This window comes from Homo sapiens, chromosome 14 (genome assembly GCF_000001405.40).
Source record: "Homo sapiens chromosome 14, GRCh38.p14 Primary Assembly".
Classification (NCBI taxonomy): Eukaryota; Metazoa; Chordata; class Mammalia; order Primates; family Hominidae; genus Homo; species Homo sapiens.
Window position 1 is genome coordinate 98,117,941 of NC_000014.9, and position 21,433 is coordinate 98,139,373.

Sequence of the window (21,433 nt, forward strand, 5' to 3'; positions counted from 1 at the left end):
CTTTAAAAATGTACAGATTTTATTTGTTTTATCTTGAGACATTCGACTCTTTTCTTCCCATTCGAAAACCAGTGAAATGTAAAGGATGGGATTGCCAAATCTTATGAAAGGTGCAGTTGTTTTATCTTTTTCAACTGTTTAAAAGCAAACATTTGAAACGCTGGGCATCTAAACTACATCAGGCACTGTTACTTCCATAGATCATTTACTCCTCACATGAGAAGAGGAAACATTCTTTCCAATTTGCAAATACACAATTTAGAAACCAAAAATTTTCATAACTTGCTACAATCTCTTTCCCTCATCACCATGTTACAATTTAAGATCACTGTGGAGAATGTGGGGTGCAGAAATAAGGCAAAGGTTAGTTTGAAGATCATCAATTTTATTGTTTATATTTTCTGGGTACAGGCTTGACTATAGTTCCTATACTTTTTTGAGATGGGCATGGACCTCTGACTGAGTTCTAGCCAATGGCTCTAAGCAGAAATGCCTTGTAGCAATTCCTCCCTGGTCTATAAAATACTCCCACTAACAATTTTTCTTGTTTCCCTCATTCCATTGGCCCGATAGAGACAAGTCTGAAAGTCCTGTGTTAAAGGTAGGGTAGTGCAAGATGAAAGGTGCCTGGGTCCCGGAATAACATGGAGAAGAGCCATTCACCAATTGGGAACATTTATTCTGGACCTCAAATGGCAAAACATAAATTGTAGTGTACTTGAATCCTTAAGGCATTTGGGAATTTACTACCGCAATCAGTGTCAACTTAGTAGTATAAAAAGCTAAAGACCATGGGGGTGATAGCTTTGTTGGTAGGATTTTACATTGAAGCATGGTCCTTAAATGTGACAATTGATTTTATTAATATGTGGCAACTTGGCTAGATTCTGGTGCCCAGTTGTTTGATCAAACAGTAGTCTAAATGTTACCATTAAGGCATTTTTCAGATGTAATTAACATTTATAATCCATTGACTTTAATGAAAGCAGCTTACCCTCCACTCTGTGGGTGGGCCTCATCCAATCAGTTGAAGGCTTTAAATGGAAAAACCAAGGTTTCCCAAAGAGGGAATTATGGCTCCAGACTGCAACATAGAAATTCTGCCTGAGTTTCCAGCCTTTGGACTCAAGACTGATACACTACCTCTTATGGATCTCCAGCCTACTGGCTTGCCCTATGGATTACAGACTTGCCAGCTACCAGAACTGAGTAAGCAAATTTCTTAAACTAAATACATGCATACATACATGTTATATATATATTATATATACAAATATATCAATATACTATATACTATATAAGTCTAATATAGGTTATATATATTAAAATATAATAATATGTGTTATATGTAATATTTATTTAAAGAAATTAACTTAAATGCATTTATTTATTTATTTTAAGCACTATAGACACACATGGAAAGAGAGAGAAGTGGCAGGTGGTACTTGGGACCCTGACTGATGAATGAGATGCTACTACTGACTGGCATGCTCTCATTTCTGGAGAGTCAGGGAAAAACAGTAGGGAGAATCAGCCAGTTTCCAGGACTCCTAACCAACATCCTGTGTCATGGGGACACTGGTTGAAATCCTCTGTCATGTTCCATGGCAGACAGTCCTGCTGACTCAGGTATTCACTGTCCCTCCCAAAGGAGGATTATGCTTTCTAGCCCCACTGACATCAGGCGTGGCCACTTGACCTGCTCCGTCTGATGACACCTGATCAGAGGGGCATATGTCACATCTAGTCAGAGGCTTTAAGAGTCAACATAGAGTTCCTTCTCTTTTCCTTTTGGAGCATGGCTTGCAATGTTCTAGAGACAGGCTGCACCCTCTGCGTGGGTCCCAGAGACCCACATGTGAAGTAGGGCCACAGCCAGCCCACCGTGAGGCAACAGCCGACTCACTATGGAGCCACAGCATGATCAAGAAATGAGCCTTCTCTACTGAAAGCCACACAAAATGTGTAGTGATTTGTTATTGCAGCATATATTAACCTACCCTGACTCATCTGTATCTAACTATCCACAACTATAGATAGCCCCAATTCAAATCCTGGTTCCTACCACTTCCTAGCTGTGTGTTCGGACAAGTCATTTAGTTTCTCTGTTGCTCATTTGTCTCCTCTTAAAAAGAGGAGTAGAGAGTACTCATATAAAGGGTTGTTGTAAGGATTCAGTTAGTTAATACATGTAAAGCTCTTATTTGTTACAGGCACATAAAATGCATTAATAAATACTTTCTATGATTATCTCATGCCTTTTTTTTTTTTTTTAAGACAGTCTTGCTCTGTTGCCAGGCTGGAGTGCAGTGGCACGATCTCAGCTCACTGCAACCTCCACCTCCTGGGTTCAAGTGATTCCCCTGCCTGAGCCTCCCAAGTAGCTGGGACTACAGGCACGTGCCACCACACCCAGCTAATTTTTTTGTATTTTAGTAGAGTCAGGTTTTCACCATGCTGGCCAGGATGGTCTCGATCTCCTGACTTCATAATCTGCCCACCTCGGCCTCCCAAAGTGCTGGGATTACAGACTATCTCATGCTTTTAAAACTCCTCTCCACACAGTGTTCCAGGAAGCCATCACCTTCAGGGCAGACAAGACAAAACTCGAAAGTAATGCATAATCTCCACTCTACAAAGAATCAGCCAATTCTTGGGGAGGAGCAGTGGAAGTAATTTTTTTTTTAACAAGGTGCTAGGTAATACCTATTTTAGGATTTGCAAGCTTTATTTGGTACCTCTTACATATTCTTCTTGTCATTTTTTTCTGTCTCCTTCTCTTTTGATAGATCTTTAAACATGTAAAAGCAATTCTTAGTTGGAGGGACATATAAAAACAGGTCATGGCCAAATTTGGCCAGTGAGCAGAGTTTGACAATCCCTGATCTAACCAACACTTATGGCATCTATTTCTATTGATTTTCTTTATGGGAGATTCCCATCTAACCTCTATTCTGGAAGGAGCTCAAGACCACCCTTCGTGCAGGTAAACATTCAGCGCACAAGGTGTATGCCTGCATTCATCCATTCAATGTACTTTCGCTGAGAGCTAACTGTGAGTCATCAGCTCTTCTCTAGCTGGTTTCACTTCAATAACATGGGAGGTGATGCATCCCCTTGGCTCATCTGTCAGCAGTGAGGTAGACTTATTCATTACTAGAGACTTTAAGTACAGCTAATTTTTTGTTTATATGAACAAATATTGATGAGCCACATTGCAAAATAACAAAGAACTTCTGGTGTGGGTGTTTAGCATAGTCTCATTTGATAGGAAAACTGTGTTGGTGGCACGGATTCTGTTATGTCCCTATGATGGCCATCAGTGGTCCATAGAGGTTATGAATGCACTGGGTTAGGGTTGTCATGAGCATGTGGATGAAACAAATGCTTATGGTTCCTCACTGGAAAACCCCACTGCAAATTAATCTTCAAAATTGGTTCCTGTTTCCAATACTGCAGGAATTCCAGCCTTCCGAGTTTTATTACAAGACAATAGATAGAGTGAGCAGGGGCACACATTTCCGTAAGGAAGTTGTGATGCCCTGTATTTCAGCTCTACAGGTAGGAGCCCTATAAGAGTTCACATTGTCTGAATCTGATGATTTTGCAATCTTTTCTAACAATGTTGTCCAACTTAGCTACTGCCTCTTCTAGTCTTTGGCGTTTGCTTTCAAATTCTGCTTGTCCATCTGTTATTTGTCCTCTGGCATTGTTGCCTGCCCATTTTTTCATGTTTTTCTGGGTTTTTTTTCCTGTCTTCCCAGTGATTTTGCAATATGAGCCTACTGTTTGATTTTTCTATCTTGCTCCCTTTTTGAGGACAGGCTATGAGAAATTCTAGAACTGGAGAGAAGTGTAGGGTCTTATTTCTCTGGTGGCGTATGTCTGCATCCAAAGTGCGTGTTTACAGAAACACAGGGTATAAAGCTCTATGCTTATAAAGCCACAAAGTTAATGTGGACTGTTTTCCCAGAAAATTTGACATCACAATGAGTTGAAACTTTTATTGTCATCAATATGGGTCTGTTATAGAAACGGCCAATGTGTTTTCTTGTTTTTAAGTAAATATAAAAACAATATTGCTGAATGCCTCTTTAGGTTTTGCCTCAAGTTATCTCTCCCTGCTCTTAGAGAACATGTGTAAAAAAAGCAACCTGGGAAACACTGACTAAGCCATAGGGTGAGTGGGGGAGATCCTCAATGCATGCCCCTCAATGCTTCCTGAGCACCAGGCACTGTGCTTGATCTTCCGCATGTATCATCCTAATGATAATCTTTATAATACATGGGGCCACAATATTTACACCTTTGACAAAATCAAGACTGAAAGAGCCAAATTAAGGATAACAGGATAATGTTATTCCCATTTTATTAAGTAACTTTTCTAAGGCCATGCGTAAGAAAGATATTAACACAGCATTTTAAGTTGAGAGCTGTTCTCCCCTTATAAGGAGAGAATTTTTGCTGATATTATGGTCTGAATTGTATATGCCCCCATCCCCAAAAAAAGCCTGTGTTGAAGTACTAAGTCCCAGTACCTCAGACTGTGACCATATTTGGAGATAGGGTCTTTAAGGGGGTTATTAAGTTAAAATGAAGTCATTGGGGTGGGCCTTAATGCAGTATCACTGATTTTCTTATTAAAAAGGACACAGAAACACACAGAGGAAGACGATCTGAAGACACAGGGAGAAGACAGCTATCTGAGGCCAGGAGAGGGGCTGCAGAAGGTACCAGCCCTACCGGCACCTTGATCTTGGACTTCCGGCCTCCAGAACTGTGAGAAAATAACTTTCTGTGGTATTAGTCACCTACTCTGTGGCATTTTGTCACAGCAGCCACAGGAAACTAATACAGGAAACTAATGACAAGGTATTCTCTCCATCTCTATCTATCTGTAATCTATAACTGTATCATCTATATCTATAACTATATCGGTTGACTTTACCTTATCTGAAATGCTTGGGATGAGAAGTGTTCCAGATTTGGGAATTCTAACAATTTTGGAATATTTACATTACCCTATGGATATCATGCAGGACTTTTTGACATTTTCAACAATGTCTTTGCACCATAGAGGACAGAATAAGAAAACAAAAACAGTGAGTAATGCACATAGGTCTGGGCCCCATGTGGGGCATGGCGGGGAACCTGCCCTTGGCACATCCAGCCTGTACACATGCCGTTTTATTACTATTTGTGTGCGTGTTTGCAAGGGGGAAATTGGGTATACATGGAAAAGACATGCTACAGCTGAAGGGGTCAGTCACATGAGGTCAGTGTGAAATTTTCCACTAATTCAATCATGGTGGCCAACACTCAAAAAGTGTAGGATTTTGGAGCATTTAGAATTTTGGGTTTTCCCATTAGTGATAATCAATCTGTATCTATATCTATCTATCCAATCTATTATAAATCATCTATCAATATTCAAATATAGTAGATATAGAGACATATGTAATTCAAATATAAAACATTATAAAGGGGATTTAGTCTTCCCTTTCTAACTATTGTAAGATAGAACCTATTTTAATGACAACATAGTGTCTTCCAATCTTTACCCATCTATACACTTGCGAGGTTTCTACACAGTGGTAATTCCAGCATACACATGCATGTATGTTCTAATATTTCCCCTTATCATTAACACTCAAATATTTATAAAAATTAAAAAGTCTGTTAAATTACATTCTATTTCTTTGTAGCAATATATTGAAATGTTATTATATATTTTTATTTTTGTATGTTCATCACATTAATAATCATTTTAGAAAATGAACAGAGTAGAAATATAATCTCCAGAATAAATTTAAAAGTCCTTCATAATTTTATTATTCAGAGATGGTATGTGAACATTTTGCTGTTAATGTTTTCATTTTACATTTGCATAAATACACACATATACACATTGAAATGTATACATATTCAATGTACTTTTCTGTGTTCTTTATATAAGAAAAGTACTAAATCCTTACCTGTTATCTCTGAAGCAAATATTTTCCCAGATTTGTGTTGTTTTTATTTTCATTTAAAAGGTTTTTTTTTGTTTGTTTTTTACATTCAAATCTCTTGAATTGTATGAGATATTTTTTCTGTCATTTTCATGCTTCAAAATTATGCCTCTATCCTGAGATCATATAAGTATTCACCTGGACACTATATGTGTTATGGACTAAATGTTTGTGCCCCCCAAAATTCATATGTTGAAATTCTAATCCCCAGTAGCATGGCATCAGGAAGTGGGGCCTTTGGCAGGTAATTAGGTCATGAATGCAGAGCCCTCATGAATGGGATTAGTGCCCTTGTAAGAACGGGAAGAGAGCTAGCCCTCTCTCTTTCTCCCACGTGAGAGCACAATGAAAAGTCTGTAGTCTGCAAGCCAGGAAGAGAACCCTGACCAGAACCCAGCCAGGCTAGCACCCTGATCTCAGACTTCCAGCCTCCACCACTATGAGAGATAAATTTCTGTTGTTTATAAGCTGCCCAGTCGATGGTACTTTGTTAGAACACCTCAAACAAACTAAGACAACATAGTTTCACTTTTTCTACCTAGTTATTTAATCTCTCTGGAATTTACCACTACAGCGTATTTTATGGAAGCCTATACTAATGTTTCTCAAGAGGTTAATAAGCGAGCCCAGTGATATGTTTTGAACTGTTCTTCCCTTTGCTGCTGCACTAGTCTTCTATTTCTGCATTGCAAGATCTACAAACATAATGACTTACTACAGCAGCCACTATTAGCTCACTATTCTGTAGGTCAGAATTCTAGGCACAGTGTGTCTCTGGCCCCTGCTCAGGGCCTCACAAGTCTGGAATCAAGGTGTCATTGCATGTGCCCTTATCTAGAAACTCCACTAGAGAAAGATTTGCCTCCATCTCTCTCAGGTTGTGGAAGAATTAATTTTCTTGCCTTTGTAAGACTCAGGTCCCCATTTCCTTGCTCAGGGCTGAGGGGCTGAGGATCACCCTTACACCCTAGAGTCTGAACTCAGGTTCTTGTCATGTGACCCCATCCATAACCCCTCTCAATTTATTTATTTTTTTCCTTGAGACAGATCTTCACTCTGTCACCTAGGCTGGAGTGCAGTGGTGCAATCTCGGCTCACTGCATCCTCTGCCTCCCAGGTTCACGTGATTCTCCTGCCTCAGCCTCTTGAGTAGCTTGGATTACAAGCCTGCACCACCATGCCTGGCTGAGTTTTGTATTTTTAGTAGAGATGAGGTTTCACCATGTTGGCCAGTCTGGTCTCAAACTCCTGACCTCACGTTATCCACTTGCCTGTTCCTCCCAAAATGCTAGAATTACAGGTGTGAACCATCGAGCCCAGCCTCACATTTTGAATCTTGAGAAAGGACTAAATCACTTTTAGATCCCTTCTGATTAGGTCAAGACTATCAGAATGATCTCCTTTCTTGTTAACTCAGTCAACTGATTAGGAACCTTAATTACATTTGCAAAACTTATTCACCTTTGTCATATATGGTAACCTAACAAGTGGGATGCAACTCGTCATATTCACCAGTCCTGGTGGCACTCAAAGGAGTTGGGGGGGGTGGTGGTGGTTATGCAGTGTGTGTACCAGGGAGCACAGATCCTGGGGACAAGTCCAAAATTTTGCCTGCTTCCTCATTACTTTTCTATCACGTGTTACTATAGTTCATCTTTGATAAGTATTCGATAACTTCTTTATCACATGTTACTATATTTCCTTTTTGTTCTATACATCATGACCTGCCAATGAACTCTGTACTCAGGCCTGTGCTCTGTTGCTGCATTATTATAGAAATATAAAATGTTTTGTGACATAGCTAGGCTAGGTGCCCTCAATTTTGTCTTCTCTCAAGAATAACTGTCTGCATTGCCTATTATTTATATATTTATTCTCCCAAATGATCCCTGGCATCATTTTTCAAGCTCCCATTCCCCAGTCTGGAGGCTATCTTATTTGAAATTGGATTTTGAGCTAGTGAAACCAATGTATTATATTGGGGAAAAATTACACCTTTACAGAGTGTGGTCTTTCTACATAGACCATACTTTTACTTTCAAATTTGATTAAACACACGTGTGTTGAGTGTCAACCCTTCACCAGACAGAGTTGAACATAAAGAAGTGTGCTCCATAGAGCTCTGGTTTATGTTAAGAAGATGGATGATAAATAAGTAAACAAGTGAATAAAATTATTTCAAATAATGCTAAGTGCTGGGAAGAATAGGGTAAACTGAGTGAAAGTGACTCGGCTGACAGTGGGCGTGAGAGATGGGAAAAGGCACACCTGTTCCTCTTCTTATAAAGTCAATACTTCTGACACAACATCTGTAGGTTTTTTCCCACACATCAGTTCTCCAGCAGACACCAACTGGGTGTCCTATGACTTAACTTAATTCTGACACTATCTATTTGGAGATAGCATCAGATCCCATGGGTTAAATTTTCAGATCTACAAGACTGCTCCCTACTTTAGATGCCCGTTAAAGGTAGTAGGTTACCCACAACTTCAGCCAAACTTGCTTACAAATCAAGTGTTCTCCAGCCCTGTGCTCAGGTGTGATTAATTTGCTAGAGTGGCTCACAGAATGCAGGGGAACATGTGCTTATGTTTACTGGCTTATTGTAAAGGATTTTCCAAGAGATACAGATGAACAGCCAGAAGAAAAGGTGCATAGAATGAGATAGAGGAGAGAGAGCAAGGAGCTTCCATGCCCTCTCCAGGCAAGCTACCCTAGAGGTACCTCCAAGTGTTCAGCAATTTGGAAGTTCTCAGAATCCTGTCCTTTTGGGGGTTTATGAAATCTTCATTACATAGGTATGATCGACGACATCATTGACCACAGGTGATCAACCCAACCTTCAGTTTTTCTCACCTCCCCAGAATTCAAAGATGAGGCTGAAAATTTCGATCCCCCAGTTCTAGGGCTGGTACCTCAGACAAGGCCCCATCTTGATGCTGGGAGCCACCAGCCACCAGTCATCTCCTTAGCATACAAATTAGACACTCTTAAGTGATACTAAAAGATTCCAAGGTTTTTGGGGAGCTATGTGCCAGGAAAAAGGGGGAAAATGATGACAAAATACATATATATATATATAATTACAATTACAGTATCACAGTGGGCAGCTATGGAACGGAAGTAAGGGAATCCTCTTTGAGATGATTGGACGGTTTGATAACTCTCAACCAATTATGAAACCAGGAGGAAAAGCATTTGGGGAAGAGGAAATGGTAAGTGCAAACACCCTGGAACTGCACAGGATACTATTCATGAGGGACCTGAATCAAGTCCATGCTTATATTTTTCATTAATAAGTTTATACAATGTTTCCTATATGTGTACTGTATCCATAGTGCTTCTAGATAAAATTATATTTTCTGGCTTCTAGAGAGAATGAATTAAGATTTCCATATTTTCTAAATGATTGCTGCTAATATATGGAAAACCATTAAATTTTAGATTTTTTTGAAACAGTCTCATTACTTAACTGTGATTATTCCAAAAATTTTTTTGTTTATAAACCACTGGATTTTCTGTTCTCCTGTTTTTGAGGTAGACCCTCATAACAAATGCAATCATGATGATTTTGCAATAATCTAAATTTTGCATCTTCCTTTTAAAAAGTCATCATAGTTTTGCTCTCATTTCATATCTTAGCACTAGTTTTGTTTCCTCATGCTATCTCCAAATAAAATCCCAGTGGGAATTATTCTTCTGTTTCACAGCAAGTTGCATTTTGGTTTAAGGTAGAGGGGGTGATTCTTTTTTGATATTTTCATGTTAGATATAGGAGCTTTTCTCAATTTGGATGTATTATAAATGAAAGCACTCTAAAGTATCTGTTTTCTTCAAGTTTATTTCTCCTCTGAATAATTTCCTTTAGATATATAAAGAAGAGCTGGCTTCCTGGGTTAGAAGGAATCACTGGGGTGCTCATTGGGGATCAATGACTCTGGGCAATGTTTATCAGTTGTTTACTTGCAATGATCTATCTAAGAGTTTGCTTTATAAATAAAAATTCAGTTGTCTTGGGGGAAAACTGAATCTTCGTTACAGCCATGGGGAGGGATGAAGAGAAGAGAGAGGAAGTCTGACCCAGGCAACATCTTGAAAACACAGCTAGGAGTCTGTTCTACTCCATTTCTACTAAGTGGCTCCTGCCCATCAGGAATTGGCCATTCCATCCCTGTGAAAGTAGTAATGCATCCTGTCCTGAATCTACACCCTGCTGTTAATTTGCAGTGCAATTTGGGTGACCAGTTAACTCCTCTGAGCCTCTTTTTCCTCATGAGGGTTATGTCCTGTTTCTTGTAGGGACTGCTATTAGTATTCGATAACATACCCTATATAAAGTGTCAAGCATCTTGCACAGAGCAAATCCTCAAAAATGTTACCATATTTTCTTTCTTGAGTCTTCCAAACCAAAGAGAATTTCTAGTTGCAACAGAGTCTACAGACATTTCTGTTTAATGTCTCATGTGGAAAAGCAAACACTCAGTAACTGGGAATGATGATTACTGTGGCTGCTTTGTTGTTATTGCTATTTCTGTCATCATCATCATCATCCCCATTGAGATGAGTCTAAGTCAACTGGGTCACCTGGTGAGCAGGACTTTATAATCGCTAGGCCAATTAGACACTGTGTCTTGAAATCGTAAAGCATAAGGACAGTTATCTGCAAAAGAGACACTCTGTTCCTTACATGTTAAGAATGACTGTATCAATGACTGAAGAAGTCACAACATCCGTTTCTTCCTCCCTGTGGAAATTCTTTCCCTTTTCCTCCACCTCACTTCCCCACTGCCCATCAGTCTATTTGACACAACAGACACCTCTGAGAGCAAATGTTTCTATATTTATTACAACTGTGCCCATGTATCTCAAGACTAGACTGCCAGTCTAGTCCCCCCTTAACCCTGCCCCACAAAACACCGAATTTCTCATGTAAATTGTAAGAATTTATTTCCAAACTCTGCCATAATTTTTAACCATCAATTTGGGTGCCATTTCTCTAGACTTTATTATTTCAACGTCATTTCACAAGGAATGTCTGATATACAAAGTGAAATATAAAGTGAAGGAATGATCAGGGAAATTCAAAGCACAAAAGCCGCTTAAATTCACGTTCCTGTACCTGGGTGGTTTTGTTGAGATGCTGTGAGCAGGTGGTACAGTCTTCAGGCCCAGCAGTTATCATACTTGCCTTTAGGAGTTGGTTAATGCTGGCTTGGGCACTGCCCAGGTACAACTGAGCAACACTCACCAAGGGTAATTCTTTGTCACATACATATTAAGTGTCTTAGTGAAAACCAAACAAACAAAAGAAACAATCTGCTGTCAAAATGTTGGCCTTTGACTTGGAGTCAAATAAATATGCTGGATTTGGGATCTGCTAGACCAAGCTTTAAAGCTCATCTCCAACACATAGATAACTCACCTTGAAATGCAGTTTTCCACCTGGAAAATCAGAGTAATAACATTTGCCACAGTAGCATTTTGAGGGGGATGTTAGGGATATAATATGCATTCTATATAGAATGACACTTTATAAGCTTGTAATAAATTGTTACTCTAATGAGTATAATTATCATCTGTTGTGTCTCCAAAGTAGAACCATTGTCACCCATTGAATGTTTATAGCTTCTACTTGGAGTTGTGACTTCTGGTAGCCCTCATCACCATGGCCAATGACCATTTCCTCCTTTATCTTTAAGACTTAAAGTCCAATGGTCTCTCCAGTGAGTTAACCCTAGCTGAACCCCAAATTAGTTTCCTTTTGTCAGCTTCCAACCAGCTGCTTCTGCTGAGATCTGCTTGTCTTTCCCTCGGAGCTCAAAGCCATAGAGTTTTAAGAATTCAGCAGGGGATAAACTAGAAGCTTCTTCTGGATTATTTAATATGGACCATCAATTATTCATTTGCCCCTGACCATTGTCTGGGATGTATAAGGAATAGGTTTAGGCCCTAGCAACTAAGTAAGCACTGAGCAGAAGATGTTATCGCTAATCCCTTGTGAGGTCACCCTGCCCTACTGCACATCACTGAGCTTGTGGTCCCAAGAAGCAGAGCCTGAGATGGAGATCTTTGTGCAAGTGATTTACTGTGAAAGAAACTTTAAAAAGAGGGAGGAAATCAGGGAATGGGCAGGTGAAGATGCTGAGCAAGGATGAAGTCTCAGATGCAGACTCACTCATGCCTGATCCCACAGAAGCTCTGGGGTATAAATGGCACCACAATGTTGGTCCCCTTGGTGACTTGACTCCAGACGATTGTTCCCATGCATCAGTTAGCTATTAGCTGCAGGCCACCTGTGTTGTGGTGGGTGGGTGGAAAATGCAATTTCTAGGGTGAGGAGTTCTAACAGCAGAGGGTGATTCTCTACAGAATGGTGCAGCTTTGAGCCTACAACAGCCAAGACTTGCAGCAATTGGAAAATGGGTGATCAGTCTGAATAAAGCAGATCTATACAAAGTCACAAAGTGACCACTAAACTGATTGCTCTTCCTGAACCCCTGAGACACACACTTGCCCCCATTTTACATAGCAAGTGGGACTTGGTCCCGATTCTCAAATGAGTGCCCAGAGGAAACAATAGATCCTCAGAGCTCAATTCTGCATCTGACAATTTCCTACTATCCTGACTGTTGAGTGCATTCATAATCATTTATCTAATGCATCTCTTTTTCACCAGATGGCAAACTTCAACCCAGTAAAGACGATGTGCCATATCACCTTTATCCAGAACATTGCCTACCCTACAGTCGATGCTCAATAAAAGCATGTGAACATACACACATGAACATACAAATCTACACAGATGTGGCATCTCAGGGATGTATAATCATTCTCAGAAGTAGAGCAGTTTAAGTTCATGTTGAGAAAATATTGGCTCTAACTGTAATGTAATCTGCTTCTGTGTATCATGGACTTGGCACCATCCACCACTTACATCATTCCACAGAACAGAGCCAGTCCTGTTGTTAATCATCCTGATTCCTGACTGTGCTAAAGCTCACCGTGGATAGAAATGATTGGCATCTCTGATATGCAAAGACCTAGTGAAGGTTTGCAATGACTGACTTTCTTTGACCTGGGCCACTGTAGATATCTAAGCAGAACCTCCTCTCCCAAACTGGCCTAGAAAAGTGAAAAAAAAAAAAGGTGGGGTGGGGGGACTTGGAGGATTTCACTCTCTTCTGGACGATAAGAATAAATAAGGAAGAGTCACCTCCCGATGACCACACAGCCAAGTTATAAAGGGGCTCCCATCACTTACACGTGTGCAGAGCAAACCTGCCCATGCCCCACCTTCAATCAAAAAGTCTTTTCTGTTGCACAAGCCCAAGCTTCCAAAACTCTCTCTCCTTGTCCATCATTGCTTCCTTCATCCTGTTCTCATTCTCTGATCATTTTTATCCCTACCTGTCCAAGACATGGTGGAGAGCAGACTCAAGGCCTGACCAAGTCAAACTCAGGATCTTGAATATATAACTTGCCCATGATCCCATATTCTGAACTATCCCTGGACATAGCTTCATCTTCACTTTGAGTCAAAATCATCTTTCCTGCTTGCCAGATCTGGTTCCTCCCCTACATATACACACAAAGTAAGCCTCCTCTTTTCAATATAGTTGTCATTTCCAGAGTCACTGTCAGGCATGAGCGTGTTGACCACACAAGCAACACTCAAACCACAGGAAGCAGGACTTGGAACTAGAGGCCAGAGTGAAAGAGTTCAGATATGGAAGGAGTCCAATCAGATAGAGCTCAGGACTCACATCATGTAGCTTTTCTGGAAAGAGGGCTGAAAACAGAGGATAAGTCCTGGGATTTGGTGCTCAATGTCATGTTCCTGGGGAATGGCATACCTCAGAGCCAAGGGTGCTTATTTGCACAGCTGCACACTGAGGCTACAGAAATGCTCAGTGGCTGTGTGGCTGGAAGGGGCTGCTGTAATGTGTGTGCATGGGGAGAGAGGGGCAACCCTGAAGGCAGAATGGGTTTGGCTGCTCAGGTCCTGTGACTGTGGTTGCTAGGAGGCTCAGGCTCAGTTTTGAAAGGAGCCTCTGAACTCTTGGAAAAGCTCCTTCCAAATCAGAAATGATGAGAAGCTGAACACAACCTTCGGCTCAAGTTCACCAGTGGAGAGGTCAGGAGTAAGTAGTGCATGAGCCAGGGGTTATCAAATTGAACTTTATGCTCTTAAAGATAAATACCATATCCAAATGCTGTGTCTTCTTTGCTAAAAATTACCAGCCAGCCTGGCTATTTATGAACTTTATTCAGAAGTATTTATTGAGCACCTACCGTGTACCAGGCACTACATTATACATTATGGATACTCACACAAAGTCCTAGTTCCTGCCTGTTGTGGTTAATTTTATGCGTCAGCTTGACTGGATTGCAGACTAATTAGATATTTGATCGCACATTATTCTGAGTGTTTTTATGAGGCTGTTTTGGAATGAGATTAACATTTAAATTGGTGGGCTTTGGATAAAGCATACTGCCCTTCTGAATTTGAGTGGGCCTTAACCAATCAGTTGAAGGCCTGAATAGAATAAAAAGGCTGACCTTGTCCTACGTTATGGGGAACGTCTGCTACCTGACTGCCTTGAGCTGGAACATAGGGTTTTTTTTTTCCTGTGTCAAATCTCTTTCTGGGCTGAGAGTCTGCTGGCCTTCAGACAGAAACTTATACTATAGACTCTCTCGATGCTCAGACTTGGACTGGAACTAAATCACTGGGTCTCCTGGCTCTTGAGCTTGCCAACCACAGACCTAGCCACGTGAATGATAGGCATCCATTTTCTCCCTACCTTTCTGTACTGCCTTTCACGATGCTGGCTTCACCCTCTATGCAATATTCTGGATGTTCTGGATTCTTCCTCATTGATTAAAAAAAAAATGGCTGTAGCTGTTGCAGACTTTACACCCTTACAAACTACTATCCAGAGAAAAAGAAAGAGTGCCGAGAGATCCTATGAAGAAAAATAAGGCTTCCCTTTCTCAGAATCTCCAATAAATACTTCATATTTCCTTGTCTCTGATTGGGTTGTGTACTCATCCTTGAACCAATCACAGTGGCCAAAGGGATGGGTACAATAATCGGTAAAGCCAATGAGAGTCCACTCCTGAAACTAGACCCAGGGGTTAATTTTGCTATTAATTACATCTGAGAACAAGAGGGAGTGGTTCCCCCTTAACAATGCTAAGTACTGTTTCCTGAAGATGATTGGATGGAAGAAAGAGAACAAGTACCATACAAATTCACTCCACTGACCTCCTGAGTTAAGCCCTTACATGTGCTGTTCCTCTCACCTCTGCCAATTCCCCTACTGTCATTTCTCATCTCAGACTAGTCCTTCTATCCCCAGTGACTGGTTGACATTTCTGGGGAGCTCTCCTGACCACTCCCTTCCTAGACCAGATTAAGTGGCCCTGTTTTGCCTCCTCCGACACTCCCCTAACAAGCACCTGCTGCTCTCCTGGCACTTCTATCAGTGTCTGAGTCACTTGTTTACTTGTTGCCCAAACCCACTGGACTATAAATTTTTTTCACAGTATTGCCAAGAGAAAACACATAGCTTCAGGTGCTAGGAGCTGTGCTCAAAACTATTTGAAAGGTGAATGCAGGAATGGATGGATGAGTGAATGAATGAGGTGGGTGAATAATGAAATGAATGAATGAAGTGACTTAGACTTTAATCTTAACCAACTGAAAGAAAGAAAGGTCTCATTATCAGCACTCCAGGAAAGCCAGGAGAGATCTTGTTTTCCTAGATACTGGTCAAATTTGATAGAGAATATTGTTTTGAAATATGAAATGCTGAAACCAGGGAAGAACCTGATTTAACATCGTAAGAAGAATCAGACGTACAAAAATAGCAAGTGAATGCAGTTAATTACGATTTAAATATTGATCATAAAGGACTCTTTCAGCCTGAATTAACATAGTGAATTTCAAATCAAAGACCCTGTATAATCAGATAAAGATTGACCATTGACCCTGGCATTGTGCCAGATGACTAAGTCAGGTCTCATCCTTTCTTGGGAAACCTCCCCTTGGTGTTGACATTCCAGGGAGAGGCATGGGTCCAGCACTGCACCCAAATATTGAGTCTGCATGGATGTAATCAGAGATGGGGCACCGGACTGTCTTTGAAAGGGATTTCCTTCAAACCATGAAACTGATCATTAATCACTTTTGCGTAGCTTGCTGTGTTGTTGCAATGATGGGGAAATTCAAGTAAAAAACAAAATTCACCTGACAATAAAATATAAATCTGTGTCAATATCACAGTATATGTGGCAAAAAGCAGCCCAACCATGGTCTCAACTCAAGATAATCAGGACAGAAAGTCTATATAGCACTTGGAATCTCACAGGAGTCTTGGCTTTCCTGTTGTCTTTACTGTACTTTGCTTTAACCAACCTGGAAGGACAACATCACCACACCTGTCTTGCAGAAGAGAAAACTGAGGCCCAGAAGGCTAATGGGATTTGTGCACAGCTACTAACAATTGTCCACCTAATGATTTGAATTCAGATAGCTTCTTTAATGCTCTTCAACACAACTTCCTCACTCTAAGTCAAATGTGAGCAGCATTAAAAGAAAATAAAAGTACAGTATTGTACAGAAAGCAACATACGTCATTCATGGCTGTGTGTGTCCATAAATATGTGTGTGTATATATATATGCATGTATATATGTATCTATATGTATGATAAAAAATAAAAATAACAACTACAACAACAAAAAAACAGAACATGGAAGTAAAAAAAGAGAGTGATTTTCCAGCAGGTTCCTGCAGAGCCCTTCTCTTGATTCCTGAGAGGTTCAATTAACGGATGCAAGTCATAAAACAGTGCATTTTCTCTCTGCTATGATGCATTGTTTTTAATCTCACTGCCTTGTATTATATCACATTCCTATAATTCTTCCGACAGGAAAAGGCTTGTTTCATAAAAATATAGTCCCCAGCATTTGAAATATAAGTTCACATGCAAGCAACATATATATCACCAAGCTGGCAAACTAACTCACTTACTTAATCCACTAAACTTCAGGTGCTTTCTATATTATGTGAAATGGCTTGAAACAGGCAGAAGCTGCCAGGACCCATCACGGCTTCTTTGCTCAAGAGAGACAAGAGGAGAAGGGGAGAAGGGAGCGGGGGGAGTGGAAATTCCCTCAGTGGATTCCACAATAACATGCCTTTCATTATCACCCAGTGTCAGGACACTGGGTAATGTTCATTGTGCATGCACAATAAATTACTATTTACCTGGCAGTGCTTTTGATAAGCTCGTCTCCTCACCCCCTTTCTGTCCATGCAGCACAGAGCAGCGAAACCCCTTTGCCTATAATTCTTATTAAGGTGATACCTTTTCTGAATAAGAAAGTACACACTTCCAAAGCTGGCACTCTCTGGGGTTTTTAAGGGACATTGTTTTTATTGGTTCCCTTTTATTTCTTCCACCCCACTGTGTTTTAATGCTATAGTGACTTCTGTGTATACAACTCTCATATTGAAATGTCGGCTGCAGATATATGCAATATTAAAGAGCGCTTATGAATTTTTGACATCTAATTAGTCGCTACCCTGTTAACATGTCAGGACTCAGAGGGATTAGGGAGGCAGCCCTTTCTGAATAAGTTACAGTGAGGCTCCTGTCCTTTTCATGTATTATTCTTTAATGTAGGTGGTGATTATTTGGCTGTGATTAATTGATGAAGCCCATTGGTCTGGCAAGTGGTGCCGAATTCACCATTCCTCACTTTTATTTCTCTCAGTAGGGTTCTGCCACTTAATCGGAAGGACCTGCTTCCTTCCAGGCAATCTCTCTGTGCAGCGTTCTGGGGCAGAGGGACTGTTCTGGGTGACCCACCTAGACCCTTTCACAGCTCTTGGCTCCCTGGTCAGCAGTGGGTTTTGCATCCTGTCTTCTTGGACAAGCCCTGTGCCCTGTGCCCCCTGGCCAGGCATGTCTGAAATGCAGTGGCACCCCCTATACAAAGGCTTCCTGTTGCTCCCCTTTTCTCTCATATCTGATTTTCGAGCCTTGCTTTCTGGTACCTTTAACACCTGTAGCTCCCTGCCTGGCTCAGTTTACTTCTGGGTTCAGCTGCCTGCCAAGACGCCAGGTGACAATCGGGGCTCTCCAAGGCCGCTCCTGCCATTGTCTCCAGCTGTGGGGCCCAAGAAACCACACACGTGAGATGCACAGTCTGATATGGCCGGCTCTGCCCCTCTGGGTAAGTGATACCAAGCTCTAAAAAAAGGCAACAATGAGAAGCGGATGTTGGGGAGAGGGGACCTGCTGGCTGCTGCTTTTGGGCACTGCCCCATGGGTGTCAAACACCCTGCTGTGTGCAGGCAGCTTCCGCCTCCTAGGAACTCTATGCCCACACAGTCCTCCCAGAAGCTCCTGTCCCAGCTCCCTGGGCTCCCACGGAGGAATCCTCTTTCACAGTGGGTTCTTAGGAATGTCAGATCTGATAGTCTTGGATTTGAAGCTGGGCAAGATTTTTAACATTTTAGATAAAGCAAGCAGGGAAATGATTTGTGAGTATAGCTCTGTGTTTAAGCACAGGGAGAGGGAGGTGTTTTCTGCTTCACCGCATGACTCCCCTTCCATACACCCACATGTGCATGCAGGCACACACATGTATACACACAGGTGCATGCATCCATACACACAGACCCACACATGTACACATACAGGCCCACACACACCCATAGATAGACACACACACTCCCAGGTACACATGCAGGTGCACACACCCATGCACACACAGGCATACACAGGTACACACACAGACACACACTCTCTCTCCCACAGCTTTCTAGACAAAGGCTCTGCCATCAGACTTTCGTACCCTGGCCTCCTGGTTTTATGAACAAATAATTCCTTTTTTTGCAAAGCAGAATTCCCCGCCCCCATTATAAACTCCCACCATTCAAATCTATAATTGGGGGAGTAACAGAGCTGTGGCCGACTTATCTTTTTAAATGCACCGACCCTGGACGAGCCATCCTAAAAATGTGTAATTATAAATAAACCTTCACCTATGTCAGCTGGCAGGGTTTTTAATTACTGCACTTGATGTCAATCAAGGCCAGCTCTGGGTATGCATGTTAGGGGGCAATTTCAGAGGAATTTTGCGGACATAAGCTGTTTGCCTTATTCTATTATCTGCATTTAAAAGGGGAGAGGAGGAGATAAGGCGACAGCCAGGAGGGGAGAGAGAAAGAGCAGCTCATGGAAAGAAAATGGTGGGGGAGGCATTTTACCGAGGCTGCAGCATCCTGCTGGGGCTGGGGAGGGCAGATACTGGACATCTCTCCTAACCCAGGGCCCCACACTGCTGGCCCCCTCTTTGTCTCCCAACCCTTTCTTGCAGGAAGATAAGGAGGGAGATGGGAGTGAGGTGTATATTTGCTGATGGAAGGGGGTGGAGGGGGCCCCTGCTAATCATGTGGGGACAAGGCGGGGATGAGGGTGGGGGTAGGATGAGGGTGGGGGTAGGATGAGGCAGGGAAGGAGAAGATCAGGAAGAGCAAGAAGTGTTGGGGGGAAGCGCTAAAAGGAAAAAAAATCAATTGATGCATATTCACTTTCTCCTCCACTGCGGATTCTATCCGAAGGAAACACTGAACTTTGTAGTGTTAGCAGCAGCTGAAATTTAGAATTATTGTTTCCTTCTAACAGAAGACTCATTTTCCACGGCCGCATTTGCAGCATAATAAGCTTTTTGTTATTTTTTCAATTAGAGTCAATTGACCTAACAAAATGCTTGGCAATTAAGTGATTTTTGTAATGGTCCGGGGGTAATTTAGTCGAGCTTGTCAGCTGTGTTTCATGAAGCCAGGCTGTCTTTTTTTTTTCCCCACTGCCTCTCTCTCTCTCCCTCTCTCTCCCTCTCTCTCTCTCTCTCTCTCTCTCCTCTCTCTCGAGCATAATGGCTCATAATTTCGAAATCTTTTCCTTCTGTTTCCCTCACAATAATTCGCAATTACAGGAAGTTGTTGGAGGTGATTTTTTTTTCTACCTTGCCTTTTGAGTCAGTAATTTTAAATAAAATGTACATACTTATAAAAAGGCAGCTATTACTGAAATCACTTTTTGTGTAAACTCAATTATTTCATGAATAGTGACACCAGCTTATACTGGGTCCCACTCCTGAAGGCTGAGGCATTATTATCTTCAGGGTAAAAGGTTTGGAACATTCAGAACACTCTTTCCAAATCAAACCAGCATTCAATAAGGTAAACACGACTTCAGGAGAGCAGGAGGCGGCTGGGTTACCTGGCCATGAAAAATGGCAACCTCCGGGCAGCCCTCATCTCTGTTTCCTCCCCTGGGCAAGGACTGGACTTTGGCTTCTCATCCTCTGATTTATGAGGAAATTCCTCATTTGCCTAATTGATTCATTTTCTTAAGACGACATCTGGAGTTACATTTTCTTTTAAAAGGCTGCAGTTAGAGCTGATGACTAGCTCAGATGTTCCTTCATTGTGTTACTATCTGTTTATACCTATCTTAAAAATATATAATATTCTGCACGTATCTGCATACGTGCATACATACAGAAATAGCAGAAAGACGTGCTGGTGTTTTTTCAGACAAATTCGCCTAGGAGGTAATGTGAGTCGTTATCAGGATTCATCTTTAACCTTTAGGAGGCTCATGTACATTTTCACATTGCCTTATGTGTTTGAAAATGATCTCTGCCTTCTACTCCTGAGTTACAATCCCTGGTTGACTTTAGTTGCCCCCACTGTGAAAAACAACTTAGCAGTAGCCCACTTCGTTCCTTGGTAAAAATCTCCCCAGTAGGGGGCAGTAGAAGAGCAAGCCAGCGGAACCCCATTTCGGCTGGCCCTTTAACAGGGCCAAGACTTCCCCGCTCTGGGAGGCCCATCCCCTCTTGGCTCCCGTTGGAACGCAGAGTTGGAAAGATCCATTAGTACAGAACACTGGTTTTGAATTGGTCTCCCAATTCTGTCTGGATAACATCTAATCAAATGCTCCTCCCTCTCCTTTTAGGTTTTATATCTTTTCAAAGTGATTCATTGAAAGCTGTGGCTGTTGTCAGCTGGGTGCTGGGAGCACTGAACAAATTCCCTGCCTAGGTTGTGTAGACAACGTGGGGAATGGGAGACCCTTGGGATCCTGATGGTCTCGCCAGGCCTACTGAGACAAGTGTCCAGTGCCATCGGACCTGTGCTCATGCAGTTACTTACTACCATGTGAATCTGACCATCAAAATTCTTCCTACATTTCAATTCCCCCAACTCTAAAATGAGGAGGTTGGGCTTGATACCATCTCAGAACTCTTCCAGCTATAAACTGCAAACCAATCAGGTATTAATTAATTCATTCATCCACTCTTTACAAGATGCACCCTGATCTGCAGAAGACATTCCT

At 41.5% G+C, this 21,433-nt stretch overlaps 2 long non-coding RNA genes across 2 annotated transcripts in view; one reads left to right on the forward strand and one right to left on the reverse strand.

Moving 5' to 3' along the window:
* Positions 1–21,433, reverse strand: part of LOC105370655 (uncharacterized) — a 102,277-nt gene that overhangs the window by 54,053 nt on the left and 26,791 nt on the right. The window lies entirely within an intron of this gene.
* LINC02295 (long intergenic non-protein coding RNA 2295) overlaps positions 18,047–21,433 on the forward strand; it is a 30,747-nt gene continuing 27,360 nt past the window's right edge. Inside the window, exons 1-2 of the long non-coding RNA NR_184268.1 lie at positions 18,047–18,257; positions 21,053–21,370. This is a non-coding gene — a long non-coding RNA (long intergenic non-protein coding RNA 2295). The remainder of the gene's footprint in view (positions 18,258–21,052; positions 21,371–21,433) is intronic.